At 43.1% G+C, this 26,440-nt stretch overlaps 2 protein-coding genes and 1 long non-coding RNA gene across 11 annotated transcripts in view, besides 8 other annotated features; 2 read left to right on the top strand and 1 right to left on the bottom strand.

Moving 5' to 3' along the window:
* The window catches only part of DCAF10 (DDB1 and CUL4 associated factor 10), a 67,111-nt gene extending 61,957 nt beyond the window's left edge, over positions 1 to 5,154 (bottom strand). For 5 of the 8 annotated variants that reach the window (NM_024345.5, XM_005251577.5, XM_005251578.5 and 2 more), the window contains exon 1: positions 4,303 to 4,911. In NM_024345.5, coding sequence (NP_077321.3) covers positions 4,303 to 4,841 — 539 coding nt within the window. In that variant the 5' untranslated portion in view covers positions 4,842 to 4,911. Of the gene's footprint in view, positions 1 to 4,302; positions 4,912 to 5,060 lie in introns of those variants that run through there. The other 3 variants (NM_001286810.2, XM_047423865.1, XM_047423866.1) reach the window with 1 other exon arrangement.
* Positions 3,780 to 3,829: an enhancer, noted in NCBI's record as "active region_28404". NCBI's record gives its function as "activates an Ori minimal core promoter by ATAC-STARR-seq in GM12878 lymphoblastoid cells {active_cell/tissue: GM12878}" and the evidence as "EXISTENCE:reporter gene assay evidence [ECO:0000049][PMID:35858748]".
* Positions 4,140 to 4,199: a silencer, noted in NCBI's record as "silent region_19913". NCBI's record gives its function as "represses an Ori minimal core promoter by ATAC-STARR-seq in GM12878 lymphoblastoid cells {active_cell/tissue: GM12878}" and the evidence as "EXISTENCE:reporter gene assay evidence [ECO:0000049][PMID:35858748]".
* Positions 4,420 to 4,939: a silencer, noted in NCBI's record as "silent region_19912". NCBI's record gives its function as "represses an Ori minimal core promoter by ATAC-STARR-seq in GM12878 lymphoblastoid cells {active_cell/tissue: GM12878}" and the evidence as "EXISTENCE:reporter gene assay evidence [ECO:0000049][PMID:35858748]".
* Positions 4,420 to 5,382: a biological region, named in NCBI's record as "H3K27ac-H3K4me1 hESC enhancer GRCh37_chr9:37800323-37800924".
* Positions 4,781 to 5,382: an enhancer, noted in NCBI's record as "H3K27ac-H3K4me1 hESC enhancer chr9:37800323-37800924 (GRCh37/hg19 assembly coordinates)". NCBI's record gives its function as "activates a minimal SCP1, AML or CMV promoter by ChIP-STARR-seq in naive H9 embryonic stem cells {active_cell/tissue: H9 hESC(naive)}" and the evidence as "EXISTENCE:reporter gene assay evidence [ECO:0000049][PMID:30033119]".
* Positions 4,817 to 16,662, top strand: LOC105376037 (uncharacterized). The gene is made up of 3 exons (XR_929599.3): positions 4,817 to 5,041; positions 6,980 to 7,077; positions 14,466 to 16,662. It is a non-coding gene; the product is annotated as an uncharacterized LOC105376037 (long non-coding RNA).
* Positions 20,389 to 20,904: an enhancer, noted in NCBI's record as "H3K27ac hESC enhancer chr9:37784801-37785316 (GRCh37/hg19 assembly coordinates)". NCBI's record gives its function as "activates a minimal SCP1, AML or CMV promoter by ChIP-STARR-seq in naive and primed H9 embryonic stem cells {active_cell/tissue: H9 hESC(naive and primed)}" and the evidence as "EXISTENCE:reporter gene assay evidence [ECO:0000049][PMID:30033119]".
* Positions 20,616 to 25,994, top strand: EXOSC3 (exosome component 3). Of its 2 annotated transcripts, NM_016042.4 has the most exons (4): positions 20,644 to 20,987; positions 21,645 to 21,794; positions 23,571 to 23,722; positions 24,828 to 25,994. In NM_016042.4, exons 1-4 carry the CDS (start codon positions 20,664 to 20,666, stop codon positions 25,027 to 25,029), a joined length of 828 nt encoding a protein of 275 aa, NP_057126.2. In that variant the 5' UTR covers positions 20,644 to 20,663; the 3' UTR covers positions 25,030 to 25,994. The 2 variants fall into 2 exon arrangements, with proteins under 2 accessions (NP_001002269.1, NP_057126.2); NM_001002269.2 differs by lacking the exon at positions 23,571 to 23,722 and having other exon boundaries at positions 20,616 to 20,987.
* Positions 20,752 to 20,891: an enhancer, noted in NCBI's record as "active region_28403". NCBI's record gives its function as "activates an Ori minimal core promoter by ATAC-STARR-seq in GM12878 lymphoblastoid cells {active_cell/tissue: GM12878}" and the evidence as "EXISTENCE:reporter gene assay evidence [ECO:0000049][PMID:35858748]".
* Positions 20,902 to 20,961: an enhancer, noted in NCBI's record as "active region_28402". NCBI's record gives its function as "activates an Ori minimal core promoter by ATAC-STARR-seq in GM12878 lymphoblastoid cells {active_cell/tissue: GM12878}" and the evidence as "EXISTENCE:reporter gene assay evidence [ECO:0000049][PMID:35858748]".

Below are 26,440 nucleotides of genomic sequence, written 5' to 3'. Positions count from 1 at the left end.
TATTATATCTTGTCTTTTTTTCTTTTCCTTTCTTGCCTTCTTTTGGAATTTTTTTCTCATTCTGTACTTTTTCTTGTACTAGTCTGGAAATTATAATCTTTCTTGTCTTTTGGTTCCTTGAAAATTTTAAATACCTATTAAAGCCCAAAGTTAACATATATTATTATCCCCCCAAATACATAAAAACTTAGAATGTCACTTATCATTTATTTTTATTTTACTTTGAGATGGAGTCTCACTCTGTCACCCAGGCTGGAGTGCAGTGATGTGATCTCCGCTCACTGCAACCTCTGCCTCCCAGGTTCAAGTGATTTTCCTGCCTCAGCCTCCCAAGTAGCTGAGATTACAGGTGTATGCCACCACACCAGGCTAATTTTTTTGTATTTTTAGTAGAGACAGGGTTTCATCAGGTTGGCCAGGCTGGTCTCACACTCCTGACCTCAAGTGATCCGCCCGCCTCGGCCTCCCAAAGTGCTGGGATTACAGGCATAAACCACCACACCCGGCCTCACTTCATAATTTATATGCTATTATTGTCTTCTATTTTTGTTCCATCTCTATTAATCCCAAAAGACATTATCAGATTAACATGTACATACATATTTAACACTTTTTGTTCTTCATTCCTTCTAGCTTCTCAGACCTTCCGTTTGAAAATAATTTCCTTCTCTCTGAACTTAGAATTCCTTTATTGGAGGTCTGCTGGCAAACTTACTCAGCTTTCCTTGTCTGAATATGTATTTATTTCATCTTTGTTCTTGGCAAGGACAAAGAACCTATGTTTGTTGGGTATAAATCTAGACTGAGGGTTTTTTCCTAGCATATTGAAATAATTACCACTGTCTCTATATTTATATTATGGTTGAAGACTAATTGGCTATCACTCTCATAGTTGCTCCTTTGAGGCCTTTTTTCTCTACTTTTTTTTTTTTAAATGGAGTTTTGCTCTTGTTGCCCAGGCTGGAGTGCAGTGGTACGGTCTTGGCTCACCGCAAGCTCTACCTCCCAAGTTCAAGCGATTCTCCTGCCTCAGCCTCCTGAGTAGCTGGGATTACAGGCATGCACCACCACGCTCGGCTAGTTTTGTATTTTTAGTAGAGACAGGGTTTCTCCATGTTGGTCAGGCTGGTCTCGAACTCCCAACCTCAGGTGATCCACCCACCTCAGCCTCCGAAAGTGCTGGGATTACAGGCGTGAGCCACCGTACCCGGCCCCTTTTTCCTCTGTCTTTTAAGATTTTATATTTATTGTCCCACAGTTTCACTACAATATGTCTAGAAAGAATTCTTGCTTGGGTTTGTTGGGCTTCTTAAATCATGGCTTGGTGCCTTTCTTCAATTCTGGAAAGTTCTCAGCTATTATGTCTTCAAATAGTCCCCCTTACACCATATGATATGCTTATATGGTATAAGCGTACCATATAGTTAGCCAGAGTTCCTGAAGAAACTGGGACTATTTTCTTTAGGAACTCTGGCTAACTATATGGTATGCTTTTTCTCTCTATGCTCTGTGTTACTAAATCTCCTTTTCATATTTTCAATCTCTGTGTTTTCCAGGTCTGTATTCTAGTTAGTTTCTTTGCTTCTATTTTCCAATATGTGAATTATCTCTATAGCTGTGCCTAATGTGTTCTCATGGAGGACAGTTTGACAGGGTCTGACATACTATAATTTATTAACATTATCAATTTTACTTTTTCAAAATGTCATTTTAGAAGGTGATACACTTATTTTGACAATGTTTCTATCACTTAAAACATTTTTTGAATTCTTTAGAAAATACCTTCTAACCCATTTATCTTTTTTATTGCCAAATTCCTTATATTGTGGTCTCTATTAAATTCATAATTTTAATTTTTACATTCTGTGTCACCCCCTCCTTCTCTGTATTGAGAAGTCCTTGAGGGTGACAGTGGTTATGCTACCTGGTAAGCTGATTTAACTCATATTTAACTGAAAGATATGAGAAATTACCTCATTTAACACGGATATGTCATCTATCTGTAAAATTACTTTAAGTCCTACACAAATGTAGGGCATACTAGATGAAGTAAGAAGACTGAAAAATTAAAACACTGAAGTATTTTCACTCATCACCCTGATAAACATGAAAAAGAATGGCAGTATGCAGTGTTGCCAAGGGTATGAGGAGACAGGCATGTGTCTAGAATGTAGGAATCAGAATATAGTAATGAGAATTAGTATGATCTTTGCAGAGGGCAATTTAACAATAGATATAAAAATCTTCATAACAATAACTCATTCTAGGGATTTATCCTAAAGATATAAATATAAAATATTTGTTCAAAGAGGTTTTATTTAAACTAATGAAAAATGTTAATGTTGTAGAAATATATTTATTAACATAAGCAGTTCACAATTTACTGTAAGAAAAAAAGCAAGCTACAAAACAGTGATTCCATGTTTATATTAAAATAAACATACACAAATTAAAAATTTCCTTAGATATCCATTTAATCTCTGGGATCATAAGCAATGTTTAGGTATTTTTTGCTCATTTATTGCCTAGGTTTTACACAATGAGCATATATGTTAATTGTGTAATTTAAAATTATGGAATTAAGTGCAAGAGTTCCTAACCACCTTTTACAAAACTGTTATGAGAAAATACATTCTAGATTCAAACAAAAACTAAGCAATATATCCCTTATTCTAACAGCTCTAAAATCTGTTCTTCTCATTATACTCCCACCTAAAATCCCACATCCAAAAAGTAGAAATAGCTGCTTCTGAATTCCTGAAAGTATCGGTAGGAGGTTGGGAGGAGAGGGGCCGGGATATGAAGAGAGAAACTGAATATTTGAGGACAGACTGTTCGTGTTTTGAGGGAAACTTTAGGAATAGGGCTTGGCTGAAGGAAGGAGGCTGCGAGGTTCCATGAATAAGTTTCAGCAAAATAGTTTCTCCTCTCACCAGTTTTCCACCTTATTCAGGTGTGCATCCACTGCTACATGCTCCAACCAATTGCTGTTGAGACCCCAGAGACCCCAGCACCACGTGTGATTAGGAAGCGCTTCCATCATTGAAATGGAATAGAGTCTACTTGCTCACAGTAACTCCTGTTTCTATTCCTTTGCTCCTTCCTTAGCAACTTCAGGTCTTTCTTCAGTAAAATTTTTTGCTTTGTAAACCTATTTTTTTTCACCTCCTGTAACATGATATGCTGCCCTTCTACGACCTTTGACATACCAATCATCTCCATCTGAAATACTTCTATCCCTTTCCCAACCCTATCTTGACTAATTTATTTCGTACTCATTTTTATTTTCATTTAGGTGCCACTTCCTCAGGGAATCCGTGAACACAGTGTCCATAACAGATTCCTTCAAGACTTTATCTCAATTAACAAATATATTTTATGCATTATTTAGTAAGGCTATCTACTATCTAGTTGAACCATTAAGTCCCAGGCTCAATGAAAACAGTGCCATTAGCTGGTTTTGCTCAGCATGGTTACTCCTGCATTTGGAACATAGCAAGTGCTCAACAAATATACGCCGAATGAGAGAATGAATGAATGAACAACTGAGTAAACAACTAGCAACCGAGAGGCTTGGTGGGGTAAGAATTACATTAACTATGTCACCTCATGGTGGAACTGTGCACATTTTTTCTTTTGATGGCGGACTTGTGTACTGACAAGACAAAGTTTTAAATAGATACGATTTTGGAAAGTTCCCTTTAAAGCAAAGCCATACAATAAATATTTAATCAGCCAAGAAAAAGGCTGTAGTCTAGCCTGGGGACTTCACAAATGACCCAAATCATGAGAGCCACGTCTCTACAGTGTCTTAGTACTGTATCTTCCTTGAGCAAAGGAACGCACTTGCCCCATCATGGCAAGTTCAGGTACAGAGTGCAAGGAATCTACAGCTTTCCTACCCCGACACAGGTTTAGGTAGGAAAACGCGAGCCTAGGATGATGGGGAGAAAGCGGGCATTTATTCAAAATGTATTTACTGAGCACCTACTGTGTACCAGAAAGCCCTAGTTGTGGGCTGGCTCTGACAGGTCCGCTGTGTAGCTTCGGGCATTTCTCCTTCACAGAGCCCAAGTCCTGAAGGCGAGCAAGTGGGGCCCCGCCTGCCTGCCTCAAAAAGCTGGGCTGGGGATTCCAAGGGCGAGAATGCGCTTCAGAAAGTGCCAGGAGGCACGAAGGCCAGCGGCCCCAAACGGCCTCGCTAACCTCGGCCCGGGCGCGGGGAGCGAGCCCAGGACGGCCGTCCGCTGGCAGCAGAGCCGGGCGGAGGCGGGCGCCCGCCCTCCGAGGGGCCGCGCTTACCCGTCGGGCGAGTACTCGAGGTTGAAGACGGCGCCGTGGGTGCGGGTGCTGAGGTACACCGAGTCCGCGGGGTGGATGGAACCGTAGAGGCTAGTCATGGTGCGAAAATTGTCCCGCGCCGGGTCCACGAACAGCCCGCGGCCCAGGCTGCGCTCTTTCAGCCACCCGAACAGCCTAGCGCCAGGGCCGCCCAGGCCCGCGCCGAGGCCGTGTCGGCCCCGGCTCTTGGCCCTGCAGTCTGGCCCGGGCCGCCGGCACGGAGGGGAGGGAGGTGACGGCTCTCCCGGGGCGGAGGCAGTTGAGGACTCCGGAGCTCCAGGCAGCCCTAGCTCTCCGGAGCGCGGGGCCGGGGACAGCGATGGGGCGCCGGGGCGGCGAGGGCTTCGGGCGGGTGGAGGGGGATGGGTCGCATCAGCCCCGGGATGTAGTGGCGAGGGCGGCCCGGTGGCTGCTGCCTGCCCCTCGTGGGGCGTCGGCTCCTCAGCCCCGGCTCCGGCCGATCCGTCCCCTCCAGGGCTATGGGGCCCAAAGGGAAACATGATCAACGCCCCCGCCCCCCGCTCCGGGCCACTGCCCCGCCGGCCGACACCTCAGTGCCCCTGTTCAGCTGCCACTTCCGGCGTGCAGCGGCCTAACCCCACCGGCTGGAAACCCGCGCCGCCCCTCGGCCACCGTCCGCCGGGGACCGGGAAAGCTGAGACACCGCCGGGTTTGGGGCGCCGCAGTCCCGGGAACGGAGGTAGGGAGCGAGTAGTTACCTGTGTGAGCGACTGAGCATCTGGGCACCTGATCTGGGTGGCAGAGTCGGTCTGTAGTTGTCAGTGACCGGTGGCCGCGTGCCTGGGGATGAGTGGCCTGACCAGTCAGTCCTGTGAGGCTGAGTATGTACTGGTGTCTCCACTTTACACTGGGATCAGCGAGGGATTAAGAATTAGTGCATTACGTGCAGGCCACACACAATAGGTGACATGCCACTCTTTTTTTTTTTTTTTTTTTCCGAGATGGAGTCTCGCGCTGTCGCCCAGGCTGGAGTGCAGTGGCGCGATCTCGGCTCACTGCAACCTCCGTCTCCCGGGTTCAAGCAATTCTCTGCCCCAGCCTCCCGAGCAGCTGGGATTACAGGCGCCCACCACCACGCCCGGCTAATTTTTTGTATTTTTTAGTAGAGATAGGGTTTCACCATCTTGGCCTGGCTGGTCTTGAACCTCGTGATCCACCCGCCTCGGCCTCCCGAAGTGCTGGGATTACAGGCATGAGCCACCGCGCCTGGCCAGCATGCCCAACTCTTAAAGGCACAACAAGTTCAGGGTGACCACAGGCAGCTTCTTCCAAAACCTATTTGTCACAAGGCAAAGGAGAGACTGAGAGGAAACAGGTTTGGATGTGCTACCCAAGGAATGGCTGAGATAGCCAGTCTGTGTATCTGGGCTTAAATGAAAGATGGCAAATAGGTGATAGTTACTTTTCTGGGTCAACTTGACTGGGCTAACAGATGCCCAGATAGCCTGGAAAACCATTATTTCTGTGTGTGCCTGTGAGGGTGTTTCCAGGACAGATTAGCATTTGAATCAATAGAAGATCTGCCCTCACCATTGTGGACAGGCATCATCCTATTCATTAAAGACTGAAAAGGAACAAAAAGGCAGAAGGGTGATTTAACTTTCTCTTAAGTTGGTACATCCATCTCCTGCCCTTAGACATCAAAACTCGGTTCTGCGGGCTTTGGACTTGGGGACTCATCGTCAGTTTTCAGGCCTTCAGTCTTGGACCGGGAGTTATACCATTAGCTCCTCTGATTCTCACACCTTCAGACTCAGACTGAATTACACCACCAGATTTCCTGGTTCTCCAGCTTGCAGACTGCAGATCATGGGACTCCTCTACAATGATATGAACCAATTCCCATATTAAATGTTCTCTTATATCTATATCTCCTATTGGTTCTACTTCTCTGGAGACCCCCTGGATGGGTCCAATCTACTGTAGCAGCCTACTTGCCTGGCATTCACACTCTTCATGTGTATGCCAGCACGTATATTCTACTGAACCCATCCTAGAAGTCCTAGGCTGTCGAATTTTGTAGCTGTTACTTAGCTTTCCTTGCCTACTAGCCGGGGTAGGACAACTATTTGAGTAACCAGGCTATAGATTAGCCACTGGTCCATGAGGCTGCCAGACCAAAAGTCTTTGCCCATACAGACTCATGCTCTTGGGAATTTGAATTGGGAAATCAGAAGTGAGGCAGTTGGCCATGATGGTTGGGATTGAAAAGTCATAAGGCAGAGTGAGGCCGCTGGAGTCCTGAGCAAACCAAAGGAGTAAGAGAAATCATGAGAAAGCAGCAGCCATGAGAGAACAGACTTGGGATAGACGGTGAGAAAGAAAGTTGATGGTAGGAGGAGATACAGATACATAAAAAGAGACAGACTCAGAACAGGTTAGACTTGTTCTTGGCAGAGTCCCCCTAGGGTCTTCCTGCAGAGTCCCTTGAGGTACCAGAATGATGGCTGCTCAATTTCAGTTTCAGTTTCCTGTGGGATGATCACTTGATTTCACAATACCTGAACCAGGACTTATGCACTGACAAAAAGAATCAAGGGCCAGACACAGTGGCTCACACCTGTAATCTCAGTGCTTTGGGAGGCCAAGGTAGGAGGATCTTTTTTTTTTTTTTCAGGGTCTCACTCTGTTGACCAGGATGGAGTACAGTAATACAGTCATGGCTCACTGCAGCCTCAACCTCCCAAGCTCAAGCAGCAGGAAGATCTTTTGAGGGTAAGGAGTTTGAGACCAGCCTGGGCAACATCATGAAACTCTGTCTCTCTATGAAAAATAACAAAATCATTCCGGTGTGGTGATGCATGCTTGTAGTCCTAGCTGCTCGGAAGGCTGAGCCAGGAGGATCCCTTGAGCCCAGGAGTTCAAGGTTACAGTGAGCTGTGATCACCCTGCACTTCAGCCTGTTGCACTTCAGCCTGAGCAACAGAGTGAGACCCCATCTCAAAAATTAAAAAAAAGAATTGGCACTTTGGGAGGCCGAGGCGGGTGGATCATGAGGTCAGGAGATCGAGACCATCCTGGCTAACAAGGTGAAACCCCGTCTCTACTAAAAATACAAAAAATTAGCCGGGCGCGGTGGCGGGCGCCTGTAGTCCCAGCTACTCTGGAGGCTGAGGCAGGAGAATGGCGTGAACCCGGGAAGCGGAGCTTGCAGTGAGCCGAGATTGCGCCACTGCAGTCCGCAGTCCGGCCTGGGCGACAGAGCGAGACTCCGTCTCAAAAAAAAAAAAAAAAAAAAAAAAAAAAAAAAAGAATTGGAATGACAACCAAGAAAACAAATGTGTCCTTTCAACCAGGGAGCCTTCTGTAGCCCAAAGAAAACAATGTACTCAAGGAGTAAAGTGATCCTATCATATAAGCTTATTGAAAAATAAAAAGCAAACATTCATATAATGTTTAGTGTATGCCTAATATTATGCTGAGTAAAGTGATCCTATCATATAAGCTTATTGAAAAATAAAAAGCAAATGTTCATATAATGTTTAGTATATGCCTAATATTATGCTGAGTTAAGTGATCCTATCATATAAGCTTATTGAAAAATAATAAGCAAACATTCATATAATGTTTAGTATGTGCCTAATATTATGCTAAGCTGGTTCATATATATTAACTCAAAACTCAAGGTATGTTGGTACGATTATTATCCCCATTTTAGAGATGAGAAAACACAGACACAAAAAAGAAAAGTCAGCCTGAGAGTGGTAAAGCCAGGATTCAAATCCAGGCAATCTAGCTCCAGGTTCCATGCTCGTAACCAGGTGCTACACACACATTTGTAGATTGGCTTGGATCTATAGCTATCGCTGTACATACAAGCTCCTTGCCAAGGATGGCAACTCAATAGTATTTTTTAAAAACCTCCAAATCTAAGCCAATCTACAAATATCAGGTCTGGCTCCCCTTTTCTTCTGAACACTTTTAAATTCTGAACCTTTGAATAACTGTAATCCCATGAAAAAGAACAACTTCCATTTGTTGAGTAAGTGCTTCACCAGGCTTATTGGTAGGAGCTTTGCAAGCATTGTCTCTAAATTTCCCTTTACTGGGGGCAGCCATAACTTGGCAACTACGAGGAAATGCAAGCTCAGTATTGCCACAGCTACAGATTTTTCAAAAAATGCCACATGTGGAAGTTCAAAATGAGGCCTGCTGTGGGCTCAATGATGCCACAAGAAATAGGACATAGGATGATATACCTAACACAGCAAGGAGATGCCTTGTGTGGCCATCAGTAGATCTTTGAGAAAAGACAGAGTCACTCTGTTTTACAGGCGTGAGCCACTGTGCCCAGCCTCATATTCTCTTTATTTAAGAAGATACCGGAGGTTATGGACCTCTAGCAAAATGGACAGGTAAAGCAAGAAAGTGGAATAAAAGTGATCTAAGTGGATCTAAGAAGGAGAGCAGTGCAGGAAGGTATAAAAGACAGGTGTACAAAAAGGGAGGGAAATATGACACATGCTACAACGTGTATGAACCTTGAGAATATTATGCCAAGTGAAATCAGCCAGTCACGAAAGGATATATATACTGTATGTTTCCACTTCTATGCAGTACCTAGAGTCGTCAAATTCACAGAGACAGAAAGAAGAATGGTGGATGCCAGGCACTAGGGTGAGGTGGGGATGGGGAGGTATTGTTTCATGGGTACAGAATTTCAGTTTTGCAAGATGAGAAGAGTTCTGGAGATGGATGGTGGTGATGGCTGCACAACAGTATGAATACACTTAACACTGTGTATGTACTGAATGTACATGTAAAAATTGTTAAGATGATAAATTTTGTTATGCATATTTTACCACAATTAAAGAAAAGACAGCTGTGCAGCAGGCCTGAAGAGCAGCCCCCCCAAAGTGGGAGGAGCACAGAGTGGGAAGTCTCCAGAGGAAAAATGGAAATGGAATGTTGCAATCTATTAAGGCGAGGCAAAAGACTCCAATGCCAGAATAGTGGAAGAAATTAACAAAGTATATAGAATAACAAACAATGGACTGAAACGAGGCAATCACCAACTCCATGAAAAATAAAGGATTGCATAAAATGTACAATCTGTCAAGGCAGATAACAATATTTGCACTGGTAATATTGTAAAAAATGGCTTCTGATTTAACCAGAAATTGTGCTGTAACTATGCCGTGTGTTAGCAAAGCGTGGAGAGGGAGGGATGAAGAGTGTGGAAATAGGAAGAGCCAAAACCACATCTACCTTGTCAGGAAGTCAACACATTCTCTTAAAATTAAGAAATCAAGCAATATCAGTGTATTATATTTAAACATTGAGGTAAAATAGCAGAGAAAAGAGCTGTAGATGAAGGTGGTTGTCTTTTCGGATGGGAACTGGAGGGTGCAATGGGTAGGAATTTTTTCATCTTCTCAAACTGAAATTCGTATACTTAGGCATGAAGTCCCATTTCCACCCTTCAACCCCCACTCCCAAGCACCTGGCATCCCCTGCTCTTTTTCAGAAGCCTTGTAGACTCAAAATTACCTGCACTATTTAGGCGAAAACTAAAAGTGGATATTTTCTAAGGTGTAAGTCATGTTACTGTTTTTCCTCAGGTATACTGTTTTCAGCCTAGAGCAAAAGTAAACTTTTAAGTGGTCTCTGCAGGGATATCTGACATTAAATGTTCATAAAGCTGGAGAAATACCTAGCAAGTTTAAAAGTTAGTGGAGCTTTCCCTGGTACAGAAACTCCTTCACAGAATTCACACTATGCCTTTGATATACCGGTTTCTAGGTTCTTGGGATCTGAGTGTGTATGTGCATTTGCACAAATTTGGTAGTCTGAATCTGGTGTGTTTGATGCTATGACAAATTATGGACAGTGAGCTATGGAAACACAGATGAGGGACAGTTCAGCAGAGGGTCAGAAGATACTCCCTGGAGGAGCTGGTGATCAAGCCAGTTTTTAAGGAGAGGTTAAGCAGAGGGAGGGAGACTGGATTGTTAAGCAGGGTGCATACATGGCATGAAGAATGGCACAGATCAGGGCATGTTTGGGAAATTTACAAGGGATTTGGTGTTGCTCAAGAAATGGAAGTCAGGGAGAAGCAGGATGAGGTGGCAAGGTGAGCAGAGGAGAGGGTCACAGAGAGTCTTTTTTCCCTGTAGGTGATACGATGCTCTCAGAGGGCTTTCAGGCAGGAGAAAGGCATGGTCAAAGCTGTGTTTGTTATTTGTTTTGCAACAAGTTTTTCCATATATTTGCCCCATCAGGCTGAATTGTCATCAAGAAGACACCTATTTTGCCTGTCTCCATATTATGTTTTTAGTTATGAAAAATTTTCAAACAAAATTAGAGAGAAGAGTATTTAAAAAAATAACTATATGCCCATCATCTAGATTCCATTATTAGGATTTTGCCACATTCAATTCATCTCTCTCTCTCTCTCCTTTTTCTGTGAAAATAATTCTTTATTGTGGTAAAATATATATAAACATAAAATTGACCATTTTAATCATTTTTAGATATACAGTTCAGTGATATTAGGTACATTCACATTGTTGTGCATCCATCACCACCATCCATATCCAGAACTTTTTCATCTTCCCAGACTGAAACTCTGTACCCGTGAAACAATGACTCTCACTGACCCGTCTCTCCAGCCTCTGGCAACTAAATATCAACTTTCTATCTCCATGGTTTGAAGGCATTTCATGTAAATGGAATAATACAATATGTGGCCTTTTACTTAGCGTAATATTTTCTAGATTAATTTTACATTGTAGCACATTTAGTCCCTTTTAGGTTTAAATAATATTCTATTGTATGATATACCATGCTTTGTTTATTCACTTATCAGTTGCTGGACATTTGCATTACTTATACTTTTGGCTATTATTAATCATTATGCTATGAACATTCATGTCTAAGTTTTTGTGTAAACATAAGCTTTCAATTTTCTTGGGTATATCCTAGAAGTAGAATTGTCTGCCTGCCTTTCTTTCTTTCTCCCTTCCCTTCCCTCCCCTCCCCTCTCTTTCCTCCTCCCTCCCCCCCTTCCATTCCCCTCTCTTCCCCTCCCTTCCCCTCCCGTCCCTTCTCTTTTCAGAGATGGGGTCTCTGTTACTCAGGCTGATCTCAAACTCTTGGGCTCAAGTGATCATCCTGCCCAGGCTTCTACAGTGCTGGGATTACAGGCATAAGCCACCACACCCCTGGCTGGAATAGCTATGTTATATGGTAACTTTATGTTTAACTTTTTAAGAAGCTGCAAAACTGTTTTTCAGTTTTCAAAGTGGCTGTACCATTTTATAATTCTACCAGCAAGATGAGTGTTCTGAAATTTCTATATCCACAACACTGGTTATAATGTCTTTTTGATTGTAGCCATCCTAGTGGAGGTGAAGTGATATCTCATTGTGATTTAATTTGAATTTCCCAGATGACTAATGATACTGAGTATCTTTTCATATGCTTCTTGGTTGTTCATATATCTTCTTTGAATAAATGTCTGTTTGGATCCTTGGCCCACCTTTAAATTGGGTCATCTATCTTTTTATTATTGAGTAGTAAAGTTCTTTATATATTCTAGATACATGTCCCTTATCAGACATATAATTTTTAAATATTTTCTCCTATTCAGTGAGTTATCTGTTCTAATTTTGATAAAGTCAGATTTTTCAATTTTTTCCTGAATGTGCTTCTGGTGGTATAATATCTAAGAAACCACTGTCAAATCCAAGGTCACAAAGATTTGCCTCTGCATTTTCTTCTAAGAGTTTTATAATTTTAGTTCTGAGATTTAGGCCTTTCAATCATTTAATGTTTTTATATAGTTTAAGATAGGGATCCAACTTCATTCTTTTGCATGTGTATATCCAGTTGTGCTTACACCATGTATTGAAAACATTATTCTTTCCCCATTGAATTGTCTTGGCACCTGTGTAAAAAATCAGCTGATTGTAAGCATAAAGGGTTTTAAAAAAATATTTTTTCCCATCTCTCAACTTTTAGCTGAAGATGAAGTTTTATTTCTGTATCTTAATTCTATTCCATTAATCTATATCTATCCTTATACCTATACAACATTGTCTTGATTACTGTAGCCTTGTAGTAAGTTTTGCAATCAGAAATATAAGTTATTTTGTTCTCACAAAAGAAGAACTTTGTTCTTCTTCAAGATTATTTTGGCTATTCTGAGTCTCTTGAATTTCCATACAAACTTTAGGAGCAATTTGTCATTTTTTGCAATGAAGGCAGTTGGGATTTTGAGAAAAATTGGATTGAATCTGTATTTCAATTTTGGGAATAGTGTTATCTTAGCAATTTTTTTTTAAATTATTGTTATTTGTGGAGATATGGTCTCACTTTGTTGCCTAGGGTGGTCAGGAACTCCTGGGCTCAAGCAGTCATCCTCCCATGACCTCCTATTAATAATATTAAATCATCTGAACCATGAAAATGGGATGGGGTGCCTTTTCAATTATTTAGATCTTTGTTAATTTCCTTTAATAATATTTTGTAGTTTTCAGAGTTTAAGTTTGACATTTCTGACCGGGCACAATGGCTCATGCCTGCAATCCCAACACTTTGGGAGGCTGAATGTGAGGATTGCTTGAGCCCAGAAGTTCAAAATCAGGCTGAGCAACATAGTGAGACTCCCATCTCTACAAATTAAAAAAAAAAAAAAAAAGTTTGACATTTCTTTTGTTGAATTAATTCCCAAATATTTTCTTTTCTTTGATGCTATATAGTGGAATTATTTTTGAAGTTTTATTTTTGGGTTGTTCATTTCAAGGGTACAGAAATATAATTAATTTTTGTATATCCTATAAACTTGCTGAACTTGTTAGTGTTAGTTCTAATGGTTTTGTGTGTGTGTGTGTGTTTGTGTGGGTGGGTGGGTGCCTTAGGATTTTCTATATACCAGATCACATCACGTGCAAATATAGATGGTTTTAATTTTTCCTTTCCTATCTAGATATCTTTTATTGCTTTTACTTACCAAATTACCCTGGACAGAACCCCCAGTATAATGTTGAATGGAAATGGCAAGAGCAGACTTCCTTGTCTTATTCCCGATCTTAAGTGCAAAGCTTTCAGTCTTTCACTATTAAGTGTTATCTGTGGGTTTTTCATAGATGCCTTTTATCAAATGGAGGAGGTTCTTTTCTAATCTTATTTATTGAGGTTTGGTTTTGTTTTTGTTTTTAAATCACGACAGGGTGTTAGACATTCTCGAACGCTTTTTCTGCATCTATTGAGATGGCATAATACATTAATTGATTTCAGATGTTAAAAGACCTTGCATACTTGGGATTAATTCCACTTGGTCACAGTATACAGTCCTTTCTATATGTTGCTGGATTCAGTTTGCTAGTGTTTTGTTGAAGATTTCTGTGTCTGTATTCATAAAGGATATTGATTCATAAAGGAAAAGGATAGTTTCCTTTTCCTGTGATGTCTTTAGTTTTGATATCAGGGTAATACTAGCCTCATCAAATGAATTGGGATGTGTTCCCTCCTCTTCTGTTTTTTGTAAGAGTTTGTGATAACTGGTATTGATTCTTATTTAAATGTTTGGTATAGTTCACCAGTGAAGCCATCTGGGAATGGGCAGACTCTACCTTATTGCTATTACTGATGAGTTTGATATTACCACCTGATATGGTTTGGCTGTGTCCCCACACAAATCTCATCTTGAATTGTAACTCCCACAATTCCCATGTGTCATGGGAGGAACCTGGTGGGAGGTGATTGAATTATGGGGTAGATCTTTCCTGTGCTGTTCTCAGAATAGTGAATAAGTCTCACAAGATTGGATGGTTTTAAAAATGGGAGTTTCCCTGCACAAGCTCTCTATTTGCCTGCTACCATCCATGACTTGCTCCTCCTTGCCTTCCGCCATGATTGTGAGGCCTCCCCTGCCATGTGGAACTGTAAGTCCATTAAACCTCTTTTTCTTCCCAGTCTTGGGTATGTCTTTATCAACAGCATGAAAATGGACTAATACACCACCTCATGAGACCTTGTGCCAGTTATCAATGTATTGTCTCTCAGGTCCAAATTCATCCTTCACTGACTGCTCTGAGAAAATGGATCTGAGCCTTAAATTTTTTTTCCTTTGTTCTCTTTCGTGATGATATGCTTTATAGGTAGAAGGCCCTGAAGAGGCGTTTCAGGAGGAATGGGTTTTGCTTCCTGGTCCAGTTGTGCTCACTGGCACACTTCTGCAGCACAGCAGCTTCTCCAGCATCTGTTCCTGCTTTGATTGGTGGCCAGAAACACTCAGCAGCCAGCAGTGTTCCTTAGCACCCTATTGGGCAGTTTTATAGCAGAGGCTTCCAGGAGACCCCTCCCCATGAATACGTTTCCTCAGCAACGTAAAAGTGCCAGAAAATTCTAGAGGGTGGATTTATAGGAAGTTCCACTGGAAGATTCCCAGTGACTTCTTGCCATTTAATGAGCCACAGCCACACTCTCTTCAAAAGGGTCTCAATCTGCCCTGGCTGGAGGCGAGAGGCTCCTCTTTGGGAACTCTATCACAGCATTAGAGTAGCAGCTGTTCCTTATATCTGCTATTGCTATACTCTTTAAAGCTCTCTAGTTCTTATTAGCCAGTGCTTCATTATTCTAATACCCTGTTATAGCTAATAATTCCTCATATATTAAACTGTCTTTATTCAAATGAGCATGGTTTGTCTTCTGATTAGACCTTGACTGATGAAGATATCTTAAGCTTTTCCATGGATCCATCTATGCCTGGACCTTGTATATAGAAGGAATTCAATGAATACAGTCCCTTAATAGCATCATGACACACAGTTTTCTTATGTAGTTGTCACAATTTCAGGCCCTTTCATCCTTACATTTATTGAGCAGTTATTGTCTGTGTTCAGGAATCTTGCTGTGTGGCAGGAGATAAGAGGAGAGAATCAGTAGCTAGAAGAATACAACAGCTAAAGTGGCCTTGGTGAATAGTCCAGAATGATAAAAAACTTAGATCACTAAAAAAAATTGCATGAGATGACACTGCAGAGATAAGGTAGAGTCAGATGATGACAGGCCTTGACTTCTATTGGGACAGGCAGTTTGCTGTGGCCTTGAGCATCTCTGCATGTGCTTGCGAAGTATGCCAAACACAAGGCCTAACTTTCCCCTAATACTGAACCATTTCTAGCTAGTCACATCGGCATTTAACTAGGTTAAGATGACCACAGCATAACTACCATACAACAGCTCACTCCCTCAGGGAAGGAGGCTGGTTGGTTTGCCACTTGCTACAAAAGATGCTAGGCCCTTAGCCCTGGATCCCTCAGTCATGGTGCAAACCACTGCATGTGCAACCACTGTCCGGGCCCATTGCATTTACTCCATAGGACTTGAGGACAGGCCAACCAGTGCTACCTTGCTGGTACTCCTACTGTATGCTGTGTTGAATAATAAATTTCTTCATCTGATCCACCAAATCTCATCTACATTGGTACCAATGGAGTTGTGGCTGGTGAACCTGCTTTCTTGCTTAGTCGTCTCCGTTGGAGTCTTGTTATTTCTTGCTATTCTCTAGGAGGTTGGGGCTCTTCTCTAACAAAGGGTGCCATGACACAGGCACACACACACACTACAAAATGAAAATAAACATGAACTAGAAAGATGTTTCCTTATTCAAGAAATGCAGATAAATGGCAAAGCTGTTGGAAACCAGAAAACCATGTAATTTTGAGTATTTAAAATCAATCCTGTATTGTGATACACTAAGACCAAACTTGAATGTTATTCCACATAAGAATCTAGCCAACAGAATGTAGTTCAGATTTGGGAAATGATGGTGAGGAAACTATATTTTATGGAATTGCTAATACATTTAAAACAGTAGTTGGTAAGAAAAAAGCGTGTTCTGGGCCAGGTGTGGCGGCTCACGCCTGTAATCCCAGTACTTTGGGAGGCCGAGATGGGCGGATTACCTGAGGTCAGGAGTTCGAGACCAGCCTGGCCAATGTGGCGAAACCCCGTCTCTACTAAAAATACAAAAATTAGCCGGGAGTGGTGATGTGTGCCTGTAGTCCCAACTACTTGCGGGGCTGAGGCAGGAGAATCGCTTGAACCTGGGAGGCGGAGGTTGCAGTGAGCCAAGATCAAGTCACTGCACTCCAGCGTGGGCAACAGACCAAGACTCCGTCTCAAAAAAAAAAAAAAAGTGTTCTTTTACTTTTTACAATAAATCCTGTTTGAGAAGTTATGATCCTTGTGTAAAAATATCTGTAGCAAGTAGTCTGTCATTTGTGCAGTGATAACTGTGGGCATTTATGTTTTTAGATTAAATCCTGTATTTGAATAAAGATGTTAACAATACTTTCATGGGCTTTTATGGTTAATTTCAGTATGTAAATTAGCATGTAGTTCATTTATAATTTTAGAAACTAGTAAAGTAAAAAATATTAAAGATTCACTCAAATTATTACTTCCTTTGTAACACCTATCCTAACCCCTGCCTTCCTTCCATGTAGAGACAACTATTTCATCCTCTGTACCCTCAGGGCTGACACTCTATTCAGGTTGTTGCATCCACCTTAACACTTGCTATCTTCATGTGGAGAGAGTGAACTCCCCCAAGGGCAGGGACCAGGACTCAGCCGCCTCCCCAGCTCAATTCCTGGCTGAAAGCAAATGCTCAACTAGTGTTGGTTAAAAGGAACAAATGCCCAACCTCACCAGTCGGTAAAGAAAAGCAACCGTGAGATGCCACGTTTCTAACTTCTAAACTAGCAAAGATTAGTTATGAAGAGGAAGTTCTGGGAGGAGTCCAGAAAGCTACACTCTGGTCCAACCTTTCCAAAGGTCAATTTGGCAATTTCCCCATATGTCATACTAATGTTGTGTAACCCCAAATTCAGTCTCATGTACCTGATGCAGAGCTGAAGCCAAACGCTAAGACACAGGTGCTTGGAGATAGAGAAAGGTTTGTTCAATTGGGCCAAAGCAAGAAGGCGGAAGAGCAAGATCTCTCAAATGTTACTTAACAAAGAGATGACAGCAGGCGTTTTTATGGGGTAGGGTGTGAGGGAGGGTTTCCGGGAACAGAGGGGAAAAGTCTGTGCCTCTACAGTCTCAGATAAAACTTTGAGCAACCAGACTTATGGGTGTCAGCAGCTGGTCAAAAAGTCCTTAATGGCATTCATTCCTTCTGCAAAATATTTTCATGACCCTGAAGTTATCTCTCCTGCTAGACAAAGAAACAGGACAACAGCAGTTTATAATTATATTGTGGGAACAAGAGATATTGGGCAAAACGGGAGCGCTTACTATGTGCATGCAGGCAAGGGCCTGATCAGAATTTTCACTACGGCCGGGCGCGGTGGCTAACGTCCGGAATCCCAGCACTTTGGGAGGCCGAGGCAGGCGGATCATTTGAGGTTAGGAGTTTGAGACCAGCCTGGCCAACATGGCGAAACCCCCTCTCTACTAAAAATACAAAAGTTAGCCAGTCATGGTGGTGCATGCCTGTAATCCCAGCTACTTGGGAGGCTGAGGCAAGAGAATCGCTTGAATTTAGGAGGTGGAGGTTGCAGTGAGCCGACATCGTACCACTGCACTCCAGTCTGGGCGGCAGAGCGAGACTTTGCCTCAAAAACAAAAAACAAAACAAAACAGAAAAAAAAAAAACACCAAACGGAATTTTCAATACTTCAGTTACTAAAAATGCCAGACTACTTAAATCTCAAGGGGCCTGGTTACACTCCGAATGGGGAGACGTAGGCCAGAGGCACTGGAAAGGTGAGCAGTCTCGACTGCTTCGGCTCGAAACCAGTAAGCCTCTGAAGAGAACGGGCGTAATCCACCTCGCGATTGGCAAGGAAACACACGCACCCGCAGAGGGCAAAGCGCGCACGCCGCCTGCACCGGGCTCTGGCCTCCTCTGCATTCCCCAGTCGTTGCACTTTTCCCACTTTTATAACCAGGAGAGGAGGCACGCGCTGCCCGAAAACGCGAACCGCGACCCATGGGACGCTAGAACCGACCCGCGCGCCCTCGACGGCTTGAAGCCGGGTTCGAGACACTCGTTCGCGGCCTAGGGCTCCCGCCGCCTAGGACCGGGTGCTCACTCTCGACAGGGCGCAAGACCGCCAGGTGGCGAAACACCTCCTCGGTTGCGCGCGGTCTGGTGGGCAGGCTGCGGTCCCGCGTGCCCCACCCGCTCTGGGCGTGTCAGGGTGGTAGGTGTTCAGGAGTGGAGCCCCGCCCAGCCACCGCCTTCGGGTCCCGGCCTCCCTGTTTCATCTGCCTTGACCCGCGAGAGAGCTACACCGCTCGCCACGTGCGGCCTCCACAGGGTAGTGGGCCTCATAGGACTCAGCCGCTAGATCTGGGCCGAGTTTCCTCCAGAGACTTCACTACCGACATGGGGTGTATCAAAGACGGTCCAGAGAACATTTACCGACCTGCCTGTTTGCCTGGCCGGAATGTGAGGTCCTTGAGCGCCCTTGAGCCATGGCCTTGGGCCTGCCAAGATTGAGGCAGGCGTGGTCACCGAATACTTCTGGAGTGGGGAAGAGAGCACAATTTACGCTGTCCCTGCCACAGGAGCTCCCACTCTTGCCAGGGAAACTAACCTGGAGGTGGGAGCTCCTTTTATTTGTTGACCTTTTTTTATACCCAGGGGAAAATGGCTTGCCAAATTTGGAGGGTGTGTTAGAGATGATCTGTCTTAATCATCCTAAAAAATCTAAAAATTCGGCCGGGCTTGGTGGCTCATGCCTGTAATCCCAGTACTTTGGGAGGCCAAAGTGGGCCTATCGCTTGAGGTCAGGCGTTCAAGACCAGCCTGGCCAGCATGGTGAAACGCTGTCTCTACTAAAAATACAAAAATTAGCCAGGTGCGGTGGTGCACTCCTGTAATCCTAGCTACTCGGGAGCCTGAGGCAGGAGAATTGCTTGAACCTGGGAGGCGGAGGTTGCAGTGAGCCGAGATGGTGCCACTGTAGTCCAGCCTGGGCGACAGAGCGAGACTCCGTCTAAAAAAAAAAATCTAAAAATTACGTTGGAAGCAGGTGCCTCAAAGAGATGAGCAGTAGAAAGGGAGGGCCGCTAAAGGCAATCGGTCAGTCACGGCCTCCCAGACCCTAGGAATTCTACCACTGCTGGAGAATCTGATCAAGCACTAATTGAAGGTTCGAGTTGACAGAGAAAACGGTGATTTAAAATAGAACCCCCAAAGTCAGATAGATGATTGGAATCTCTTTGGGTTTGGAATTCAACTGCTTCTCACGTGCGCAACTAAGTGTGCTCCAGGGAAATTTGAGTTACTGATATTCCAGGCCATGTAGGGCTATCGGAAGCATGTGAAATATGTATATTTGCAGGGGGAAAAAGTCTAGGGAGAAATACACACCAAAGGAATACATTCGTTCATTCATCAGGTATTACCTATTTCATGCCACACCTTGGGCTCTAAAGAATCAGAACTACAGTGTAGCAAGGGAGAAAAACGGGCAAGATTAAAACATCGTTTATTTTCTTCTTTTATTTTTCTCTGTGTTTTCTAAATGTGACTAGATCTCTAACAACCAAGAAGGTTTTATTTATTTTGAAAAAAACTACTTTTCCTGTTAAAAGGTCAGCCACTCTTCTGAGGGCGGAGTCGGAAAGAAGGTCCCATGAACCCACCTAGCGTCCAATTTCCCTTTTTTTTTTTTTTTTGACAGGGTCTCACTCTGTCCTCCAGACTGGAGTGCAGTGGCACCATCTAGGCTCACTGTAACCTCCGCCTCCTAGGTTCAAGTGATTCTCCTGTCTCAGCCTTCCGAGTAGCTGGGATTACACGTGCGTGCCACCACGCCCGGCTAATTTTTGTATTTTTAGTAGAGACAGGGTTTCACCATGGTGGCCAGGCTGGTCTTGAACTCCTGACCTCAAATGATCCACCCGCCTCGGCCTCCCAAACTTCTGGGATTACAGGCGTGAGCCACCGCGCCCGGCCCCAGCGTCCAATTTTCAAAGCCCCTCTGCTCAGCTTCCAGAGATCCCAAGAAACTCTTAAGTGGAAGTATCTCGTATCCCCACGATGCGACCGGTCACAAAACACGCGACCCGAGACACTGGAAGTGGAGGCTTTTCGATGGACCAAGCTGCGCGGTTTTCATACCGACCCGCGGCCAGGCTGTCAGATAGGTGGCCGGCCACAATCACTGCCACCTTGGACAGGGACCCGTGAGCTGACGGCCATCAAGCTTCATAAACTGGTCCGAATCCAACGGACCGCTACTGCCGGAAACGGAAAGTCCTCAAGGGCGGGTGTTGGAAGCGGAGCGGAAGCGGAAGGCGGGTACCGGAAACGGTGTTTGGTGGAGCCCGCGATGGCCGAACCTGCGTCTGTCGCGGCTGAATCTCTCGCGGGCAGCAGGGCGCGCGCTGCACGCACAGTACTAGGTCAGGTGGTGCTCCCGGGTGAGGAGCTGCTCCTGCCGGAACAGGAGGACGCGGAAGGCCCTGGGGGTGCAGTGGAGCGACCGTTGAGCCTGAATGCTAGAGCGTGCTCGCGGGTGCGCGTTGTATGCGGTCCGGGCCTTCGGCGCTGTGGGGACCGCCTGCTGGTCACCAAGTGCGGCCGCCTCCGTCACAAGGAGCCCGGCAGTGGCAGCGGCGGCGGTGTTTACTGGGTGGACTCTCAGCAGAAGCGGGTGAGCTGGGACTCCGGAGGGGTGGTGCGGCAGTGAGAGTGGTAGCCCTGCTTTGAGAAGACCTCCCAAAAGAAGAGAGGGACCCTGAGGCCCTCTTTTGTTCAGGCAAACCTAGAGCCACCGTAGTCTTGTGCCCACTTCTGCATGTCCTTTAGAGGGACCGTGAACAATAGGAACATAGCCTGAGAAGGGCGACCAGGAGAGAAAAACGTTTGGAGACCGTGAGTCATGATTATAGTCTTCAAAACCCCACAGCAGGCCTGCCGTTTGGAGTCTCAGAGGGCAGGACTAGGCTCAATGAGTGGATGTCATAGGGAGTTAATTTCTCCTAGAACAGGTAAGAATTTCATATAGAAAAAATTGTCTATGGAATGGGCTTCCTTGGTTGTAAGGATTCCTTTGCCACTGGACTTATGCCACAAAGCTAGAGACTTACTGGTTGGGGTGCCTAAGAGATAATGGAGTTTGGACTCAATTAACAGACTACCAGAAGCTGCACACCCGGCACTTTATGAAGTGATTTTCTTTTACCGAAAGTGGCATTTGATCAGATTTCTCTTTAATGACAATAAAGTAACCACAAAGGACTTGCTGAAGGTATCTTCCAATGGTATCTTGTCATTTATGGCTGTTTTTTCATTCTGTTTCTTTTTGTAGTATGTTCCAGTAAAAGGAGACCATGTGATTGGCATAGTGACAGCTAAATCTGGAGATATATTCAAAGTTGATGTTGGAGGGAGTGAGCCAGCTTCTTTGTCTTACTTGTCATTTGAAGGTGCAACTAAAAGAAACAGACCAAATGTGCAGGTAATTACGGGAGCCTTTGGTTTCAAAGAAACAAACATCCATTCCCTAGAACACTCACATATCCAGAAGGCTATCTGAATTGTCTCCAAAGCATGACCTAGATCTCTGAGCTTGTATATAATTGCCCCAGGCTCCAAGAGTTTCTTCAGATGCTCCAGGATCAGAGCCACATAATTATTATTATTATTTTTTACATTTACAATTTATTTTACATTGGCTACATTTGTTCTTGGGATGTTTCATTTCTACTGAGTTGAAAGGTTGTATCTATCATCGCCATTATTTGTTATGTCCATATCCTCTGGACAAGGATGTCTGCTGTAGGCTTAGAGGAGGGACAGGTGGTGCAAATTGACATTATCAGCTATCCATCCATCCTGGCTGTAGGTCCTAGGAGCTGATAGAGGAGTAATATTGTTACCTTGGGTTTTCAATTTGAGCTTTTCAGGTAGCATAGCCACACTCTTCTTGTCTATCCAGCCTGAAATTTAGTGATTTCTTCACCTCTTCTCATTCACTTCTCATGCAAATTTAGTTGCTTAATCCTATTTTGATCCTATTTGATTCTGTCTCTGATCTTTGGCATGTCCGTCCCTTTATCTCCACAAGTTCAGGCTTCAGCTCCCTCTTGACTGGTCTCAGTCACTTCTTCATTAATCCCTGCCTCCACGCTTTTACCTCACCATCCAGGATTTTGAGAGCTGACATCCTCACACGGTCACTTTCTCGAAAAGACAAGATTCTCCAAAATCTACAGAATTCCTTGGCATTACACTCCAGGTGTCTTTCCTCATCCCTAATTATATCCTTCATACAGCCATACTCAAATCACACCAAACGCCATTAAACTCAATTTCCTGCCCTTATTTGCACATGCTGTTCCCACTGTCTTGATTGCACTATCCCTTCGCACCCTATGGAACACATTCTCATTCTTTGAGACGTAGGCTAAACATGACCACCTCTGTAAAGCCATCTCTAGTTGCCACTTTTCTCGTATCTTTGCTCTAGCACTTACTGGATTGAGCCTTGACTGAGGTTTGTTTATATGTACCTCCCCACTGCCCTCCAAGACCAAATGCTTCTGAAAAGCAGAGAATGTTTTGTTCCTTTCTAGTTTACATAGTCACCAACAAACAGTAGGTACTTAATACGTTTTGTTGAGTGAACAGAATGAGTTCACTCTCCATTTCCTCAGTTTCGTCCCTTTGAAGTTTAGCTCTATGAGGTTTTTAAGTAAATCCTGCAGGGAGAAGTGTCAGTGAATTATTGTTTGATTTTGCTTTGAATAATTTGCATGCCGGAGTTCCTTCCTTTCTCTGTAAATCTGTAATTCTCTAGGGTAGTGCGACCTAATATAACTTTCTACAGTGATGCTGTTTTGTATCTGCACTGATTAGTATGGTAGCCACTAGCTGTTGAGCACTTGAAATGTGGCTAATGCAACTCAGGAAATTAATTTTAAATACCTAATTTTAATTTAAATGTAAGTTTAAACAATTGGCTATCTACCATATTGGACAGTGCAATCCTAGTGTTCTCTGGCCTTGAGATGGCTCCTCGTCTGTGATTTCCTGATTGGTGAAAGGGAATGATACATGTGTTCCTTTTTTTCCCCAAGACTCAACTCCAAAGTGACTGTGGGAATCCTATAGTGCAGTCAGTCCCTTAGCCACAGAACTGTAGGTGGCTGGCATTGATGCCTGTGAGAAAGAACCAATAGTAGCACCTGTAGTTTGCTGAGAGGAAATGAACTGGTTTTTAATATCATTGTAGGTTGGAGATCTCATCTATGGCCAGTTTGTGGTTGCTAATAAAGACATGGAACCAGAGATGGTCTGTATTGACAGCTGTGGACGAGCCAATGGAATGGGTGTCATTGGACAGGATGGTCTGCTTTTTAAAGTGACTCTGGGCTTAATTAGAAAGTAAGTCCTGATGTCTGCTGGCTTGACTGCTTTTTATAATTATACATTCTTGGAAAGTTGGTTAATCTTCAGGATTCAGATTCTTTGTAACGTTTGAATTTCTCCTCAGAGTTAGAAATCAGTATCCATTTTAACACATTTGGAAACTCATGAATTTAATCCTATCTTCTTGGAAACATATCAAATTCAGATGTGTTTGGCTGTGTAGTTTCTGGTGGGCTGATACTTCATGCCTTAAGCTCTTACTCTGTATTCATATCTTCCTTCCCAGGCCTGTTGCTTATTTGACTTAGCCCAAATGTGAAAACTGGCCTTTCCCCTGTTCTGAGTCACTTGAATACAGATGCAGTCTGCAGTTGTATAAAATTATCAATTTTTTCTAATTATGGGGGTCACACGCAGCTTAGATTGTGATGTTCAAGGTTATGTAGACATTCACAGAAGGCTTCTGACACTTGGTCATACTGAGGCATACTGAGGTTCATGCTGAGGCAGATTCTCTTTTTGGTGTTTAGAACTTTACCCACCCAAAGCTGTGCCATATTCAGGGGCTTTACTCCTAGAGCCAGTGAAGTTGAGAGCTATCTTGTATGCCTCTCCTTACTACATATCCTAAAGATCTGGAGAATTAAGTTTGGACATCAGAGAAGCATGTTTTTAACCAAGAAGCATGTTATTAACCAAGCACCACCCTTATGGTTTGAAAGAGCCAATGTTCCTCTCCAAGTACTGAATTTAACACAAGAGAATAATATGGCCAGGAAAATAAGTTTAAAGTGTCTTAACACTGTAGATAAAAAAAGTTATGATTCCCAGTCTAGAATTAAAGTGCTCTGACCATCTAGGGGAATGACTTTTACAAAGTTGGTAACCTAGGGAGTTTGATTTCTTTGTAAGGCATAGCCCACCTCTGTGATTTCTAGTATACCTTTGAACAGTGTAAAGTTCCTTCTTGGAAGAAAGGAGGCAGCAAATGTCATCACGTGCCTTGTTCTTGTTGAACAGCTATGGAGAACTGCTCAGAAAAGGAATCACATTCTAAAGGAGACTCCGGACACACCTTTGCCACTTCATTAAATTTCATTTTCTTTTCTCTTCCCACCAGGCTATTAGCTCCAGATTGTGAAATCATACAGGAAGTGGGAAAACTCTATCCACTGGAGATAGTATTTGGAATGAATGGAAGAATATGGGTTAAGGCAAAAACCATCCAGCAGACTTTAATTTTGGCAAACATTTTAGAAGCTTGTGAACACATGACGTCAGATCAAAGAAAACAGATCTTCTCCAGATTGGCAGAAAGTTGATATAGGTGGACTTTTTTACAGGTCAGTTGAGGCAAAAAACTATGGGTTTTTTCAGGTGAACCTCCCCCATTTAAATACTCAGAAGATAAGGTGTGAATGTATGTATTATTAGAGTCCGAAAGTATTTTTATAAGTTACTGGTTTTCACCCACGCTTTTGTGGGAGAGAAAATCATTGCAAAATCATTTTTTTTGTTCGGTACAATAAAGTTTACTAAAAAACAGTATTAGGGTTTATTTGGAGTTAACTCCCTTAGTAATTGCTACAGCTTCCATAATTAACTGGAGGTCAGCAGTAAAATAATTTTGTGATTATAACAGTAAGCCAGGTTCACCAGAGGAAATGTGGAATACCTAAGTATAAAGCAGCAAAGAAATGTCACCTGTAGTCCCATTATTCAGCGGGTGAGTATATAACAACGAAATACTTTTTCATTTACCAAGTATTGTGTTTTGCATGGATTAACTCCTTTATTCTAACTGCAGAAGACACTTATCCTCATAATTGAAACTGAGGCACAGAATTTAACTTGGCCTACATTCTCTATATTCATCAAATTGAAATTATAGTTATTATAGCTTATATGCCACTTTGTAATATACTTTTGTCTACTTCAAACAGCATGATACATTTCACAACTTTAGTCACATATTTCATGTTACAGGATATTTTTGAGTTTTATCATTATATAAATAACACTATGAGGATTTCTGAATCCAAATCTGGCCAAGTCTTATTTTGCTAAAATCATTTCCTAGGAGCTAAGCATAGAAAACTCTTCTATGCTATTTAGTATATTAACCAAAACCTTTAGAGGTAAAGAGACTGCCAGGTGATCCACATCAGTGATTCTTGGTTTCTAGACCTCTGAGAATATGTGAGATACAGATCCCCTGAAGCCTATCCATAGAAAGTCCTTTTTGGATCAAAGAGATTATAGAACTCTATTTGTTGATAAAGACCAAGGAGCTTCGTGTGTTTCTAATGTTTTCTAAGGACTGGATGGTTTTTAGTTCAATAGCTTTTAGGGGTACAAGTGGTTTTGGATTACACGGATGAATTGTATAGTGGTGAAGTCTGAGATTTTGGTGTACCAGTCACCTGAGTACTATATATTGTACCCAGTATGTAGTTTATCCTTCCCCCTTCCCTGTTCCGGGTCTCCAGTATCTGTTATACCACTCTGTGTGCTTACCTGTAGCTTAGCTCCCACTTAAAGTGGGAACATTTGGTATTTGGTTTTCCATTCCTGAGTTACTTCACTAAGAATAATAGCTTCCAATACTATCCAAGTTGCTGCAAAAGACATTTTTTATGGCTAATATTCCATGGGATATATATACCACACTTTATCCATTCATTGGTTGATGGGTACTTAGGTTGGTCCCATATCTTTTATTATGAACTGTCT

This window comes from Homo sapiens, chromosome 9, assembly GCF_000001405.40.
Source record: "Homo sapiens chromosome 9, GRCh38.p14 Primary Assembly".
NCBI lineage: Eukaryota > Metazoa > Chordata > Mammalia > Primates > Hominidae > Homo > Homo sapiens.
The sequence above is the reverse complement of the archived record's forward strand: the minus strand, read 5'-3'. Positions and strand labels throughout refer to the sequence as shown.

Excerpts from the sequence above, each read along its gene's own strand:
- EXOSC3 (NM_016042.4), top strand. The coding sequence starts at position 20,664 with ATGGCCGAACCTGCGTCTGTCGCGGCTGAATCTCTCGCGGGCAGCAGG. Across the intron at positions 21,795-23,570 it reads GAAACAGACCAAATGTGCAG|GTTGGAGATCTCATCTATGG; the intron begins GTAATTACGGGA and ends ATATCATTGTAG. Across the intron at positions 23,723-24,827 it reads ACTCTGGGCTTAATTAGAAA|GCTATTAGCTCCAGATTGTG; the intron begins GTAAGTCCTGAT and ends TCTTCCCACCAG.